Source organism: Homo sapiens, chromosome 5 (genome assembly GCF_000001405.40).
Source record: "Homo sapiens chromosome 5, GRCh38.p14 Primary Assembly".
NCBI classification, from domain to species: Eukaryota; Metazoa; Chordata; class Mammalia; order Primates; family Hominidae; genus Homo; species Homo sapiens.
The window spans coordinates 4,548,945-4,553,894 of record NC_000005.10 but is presented as its reverse complement, the minus strand read 5'-3'; the positions used below and the strand labels follow the sequence as shown (position 1 = coordinate 4,553,894).

General features: G+C 42.7%; 1 annotated feature.

Annotated features, from left to right (window-relative positions):
• Nucleotides 4,068-4,750: an enhancer, noted in NCBI's record as "OCT4-NANOG hESC enhancer chr5:4549258-4549940 (GRCh37/hg19 assembly coordinates)". NCBI's record gives its function as "activates a minimal SCP1, AML or CMV promoter by ChIP-STARR-seq in primed H9 embryonic stem cells {active_cell/tissue: H9 hESC(primed)}" and the evidence as "EXISTENCE:reporter gene assay evidence [ECO:0000049][PMID:30033119]".

Sequence of the window (4,950 nt, the reverse complement as noted above, 5' to 3'; positions counted from 1 at the left end):
ACACCAAAAACAATGGCAACAGAAGCCAAAATTGACAAATGGGATCTAATTGAACTAAAAGACTTCTGCACAGCGAAAGAAACTAGCATCAGACTGAACAGGGAACCTACAGAATGGGAGAAAATACATCTCAAAATGAATTGCTTCAGGTGAGGAAGACCCTGTCCAGCCCTGTGACTCTGGGAGGTGTGAAGCCCAGTTGATGTGAGGACAAATATGACTTTGAGGAAGGAACTGCCACCACCAGAGATAATTAAACAAATCTTATTTTATGCACAGTGCCCACAGTATTTTCACATGAGGATGTGTGCTCATAATCTACTATGAGTGTTAGGAGATCACATTCCCTTCCACCCTAAAGCAGAAGGCATGATTCTTCCTTGATTGAAAGCCCTGTTACCTATGGGAGCATTACAGCCCTGCCCTATCCAACTCATTGGTGGTCATATAATGGGGTTTGGCCACTGAGAAGGGAGCAAAGGTGGTCTGAGTCACCCACAGGGTAACATGGTCACATCCAGCAGGAGAAATGAGAGTAGTCCCTGAAAAAAGAGGAAGTGCCCTCTTTTTTCCACTGCTGAGGTGACAGGCAACACTTCACTTGTGGCTGCTCCTCAGCCTGCATCCTAGAAGGAGAATGACAAATGACTCAGAAGACCAGCCATCTCTGGAAAGAACACCATCATGTGTATGTAACAACAAGTGAAAAAGCAGCCTCTCATGGTACTTGCCACTGAGATGTTATTGTTGGGTTTGTCATTACTGCAGCATGATGCTGCCTGTCCTGACTGATACAGCCCCCAATTTTCTGCCAAGCAACTCAAAATTTAACTCTCTCACCAGCTGCTGTCTAGGCATTTTTTTCTCCTCTCTTTGACCAACTGCCTTTACTACATAGACCAAAGTAGGCTTTCTTTCCTTCCCTCTACCTCTTTGATTCTCTCCTCTCAGATCGTCTCTTGAGTCCATGCCACCCATATGCAAGAGCTGATATATGTTGGCTGGGCTATCAACATAGGAGGAACTGAGTGTACAAAAAAAGGGTAAATTCTGGATGCTGAAAAGTAGAGGGTGCTGTGAAGACTGTAGCCTCTCAACTATTATTAAATGTCAAAACTATATATCAATATATGTGTCTGGATGATACTCACAAGAATGAAAAGCAATCATACCTTGCTTAACCAGGACATGTTCTGAGAAATGTGTCCTGAGTCATTTTCGTCTCTGTGCAAACATTCTAGAGTGTCCTTACACAAACTTGATGTCGTAGCCTACTGCACATCTAGGCTACATGGTGCAGCCTGTTTCTCCTGGGCTACAAACATGTGCAGCATGTTACCGTACTGTAGGCAAACATAACCCAATGCTATGAATCTATGTATCTAAATATGTTTAAACATACAAAAGGTATAGTTAAAAAATAGTATTATAGGCTGGGCATGGTGGTTTACATCTGTAATCCCAGCACTTTGGCAGATCACCAGAGGCCAGGAGTTCGAGACACAGACTGGCCAACATGGTGAAACCTTGTCTCTACTAAAAATATGAAAAAATTAGCTGAGTGTAGTGGCACATGCCTGTAATCCTAGCTACTTGGGAGGCTGAGGCAGGATAATTGCTTGAACCTGGGAGACAGAGGTTGCAGTGAGCCGAGATCACACCACTGAACTCCAGCCTGGGTGACAGAGCCAGAGTCTGTCTCAAAAAACATATATAGTACTATAAATATATGGGACCCCCTTCACATATGTGGTTTGTCATTGACTGAAACATCATTGTGTGGTACATGACTATAAAAGTGTAGGCTCTTGAATTAAAACCAGAGTCTATTTATCTTCTGCAGAAAATATTTTTTCTGATTTTATTCATAAGAATTGTACATTCTTTGGTGGAAATATGCAATATTTTGATATTGCATGCATTCACTACAATATGTATTGATCAAATGAGGGAAATTCGTATATCTATCACCTCCAATGTTTAGCTTTTCTTTGTATTGGGGTTATTCTAGTTCTTCTCTTGTAGCTTTTTTGATCTACGCAGTACGATGTTGTTATTATACTCATCCTACTGTGTTTTTGAACACTGGATCTTACTCCTTCTATCTAACTGTATTTTTATTCCCAATAACCAATTCTCTTCATCGCCCTTCTTCTCTCCACTTCCCAGCCTTTGAGAACCAACGATCATCTCTCTGTCTTCATTAATTCCACATACTGAGCTCCCACGTATGAGTGAGAACATGTAATATTTGTCTGTCTGTGCCTGGATTATGGCAGTTAACACGATGACCTCCAGCTCCATCCATGTTGTTGCAAATGACAGGATGGCATTTTTTATGGCTGAGTAATATTAAATTATATATATAATATTTATATTTTTATCCATTTATCCATTGATAAGCACGTAGGTTGATTCCATATCTTGGCTGTTGTGAATAGTGCTGCAATAAACACGGAAGAGCAGGTATTTCTTCAATATTTTGATTTCCTTCACACACCTAGTAGTGGGATTGCTGGATCATATGGTCACTCTATTTTTAATTTTTTGAGGACCATCCATACTGTTCTCTGTAGTAACTGTGCTAATTTACATTCTCACCAGCAATGTGTGAGCACTCCCCTGTCTGCATCCTTGCCAGCATCCGTTAGTCCCTGTGGTTTTGATAAAAGCCATTCTAACTGGAGTAAGATGATATCTCATTGCGGTTTGGATTTGCATTTCCCCGATGACTAGTGATGTTGAGAACTTTTTCATACAACTGTTGGCCATTTGTCTGTTTTCTTTTGAGAAATGTTTATTCAGATCTTTTACCCATTTTTAAACCAAATTATGTGTTTTTTGCATCTGAGTTGTTTGAGTTTCTTACATATTCTCGTTACTAATCGCTCATGAAATTGATAGTTTGCAAATATTTTCTCCTATTCTGTGGATTGTATCTTCACTCTGCTGATTGTTTCCTTTGCTTTGCAGAAGCTTTTTAGCTTAATGTAATCCTGTTTTTTATTTTTGCTTTTGTTGCCTGTGCTTTGAGGTCTCATCCAAAAAGGCTTTGCTCAAACCAATGTCCTGAAGAACACATTTTAAAAGCTTCCTTGTAACTTAACGTGGCATCTAAGGCCCATTAGGTGGTGACTTGGAAAAGGAGAAGGCTACAGTCTCTGGACTATAAATCACTGACCTCAGCACCTCCTCTCTCTCATCAGCGAAGGGCAGAGCCACCCATTCATTGTGTATGCCAGGACCTTTGGGGCCACACTCCATACCCCATTGCAACCTCCAACTTTCTGTCAGTGGGTCCCAAGAACTCTCCCTCCTAATACTGTTTCTCTGTCTCACTTGCCAACCTCTGCTGCCCACATTGCTGTGTCCTCCTGGGGCCACTGCTAAGGTGCAGACCAGCCTCCTCCCAACCCTGTGGCTCCCCTCCATCCATTATCTTCAGTCCAGCATTGTGGGCCTTTTAAATTCAACAGGTGGGCCATGAATTCGCTGGCTGGCACCCTCCATGGCTTCCCATTGTTCTAGAGGCCTGGACCCAAATCCCTACATTGTTTGCAAGACCCTACATCATCAGTCTCAGCCTGCTGCCTCTGTGATCTGGCCCCTGTGCCAATCAGCTCAAGAGATCCTCATCTCATGCGCCCAGACAAGAATGACCTTCCAGTGTCTCTTTCTGAATCAATTACTCACAGGTTAAAAATAATCTTCAATGACAAGGTTTCCATGAGTGATTTCTTTAAAGAAGTTTTTTGACCCCCAGGTAAGCCCTACACTGACATAGCTTGTCATTGGTTATGATCGAACCCTGCACATTCTCTACTTGGAACTTTCACTTTTGATAATTAATTTTATAAATAATGTGACTATTTGCTTAACATGTTCTTATATCTATTTTTCTCTAATTCCCAGTAAGCCATTCTCCAGAGAAAAATTTTTGATTCTGTTTAAAATATATCAGAACAGGCAAGCCTTCTACTTAAGAGCTACCCGATGGCTCCCTTTTACTCCTAGAAAAATATCCAGAAGGCTTCATGACTCCTTGGTCCCAGGTGACCCCACAATCCCACATGACCCCACTGTTCCACTGTTCCCCACTGTGACCTGGCCCCTCGCACCTCCCTGAACTTCTTGCTGCCATGACTGGTCTCTAAAAGGGCTGAACCTATTCCCTTTCAGGGCTGAACCTATTCCCATTCAGGGCTCAATCTATTCCCATTCAGGGCTCGATCTGTTCCCATTGAGAGCTCAACCTACTCCCATTCAGGGCTGAACCTATCCCCATACAGGGCTCAATCTATTCCCATTCAGGGCTCAACCTATTCACATTCAGGGCTCAATCTATTCCTAATCAGGGCTGAACCTATTCCCATTCAGAGCTCAACTTGTTCCCATTCAGGGCTGAACCTATTCTTATTCAGGGCTTGACCTATTCCCATTCAGGGCTTGACCTATTCCCATTCAGGGCTCAACCTATTTCCATTCAGGACTGAACCTATTCCCATTCAGGGCTCAACCTATTTCCATTCAGGACTCAACCTATTCCCATTCAGGGCTCAACCTATTTCCATTCAGGACTGAGCCTATTCCCATTCAGGGCTCAACCTATTTCCATTCAGGACTGAGCCTATTCCCATTCAGGCCTCAATCTATTTCCATTCAGGGCTGAACCTATTCCCATTCAGGGCTGAACATTTTCCTATTCAGGGCTCATAGACCTGCTGCTGTTGTCTCTGCACACAGTCACTCAAGGTCTCCACATTTCTCCTGCTTCTCTTCATGGGGTCTCTGCTAAAATGTGATCTTCTCAGAAAAGCTTTCCCTAAACTCTCTATTCAGTGCCCTACTATGTTGTCAGCACTGGAAATAAATTGTGGGAAAATTCAGTCCAGAAACCCTGTACTTAGGGCTCTTTCTCTTTAGTGGGAGTCACTGCCCCACAGCCCCCTC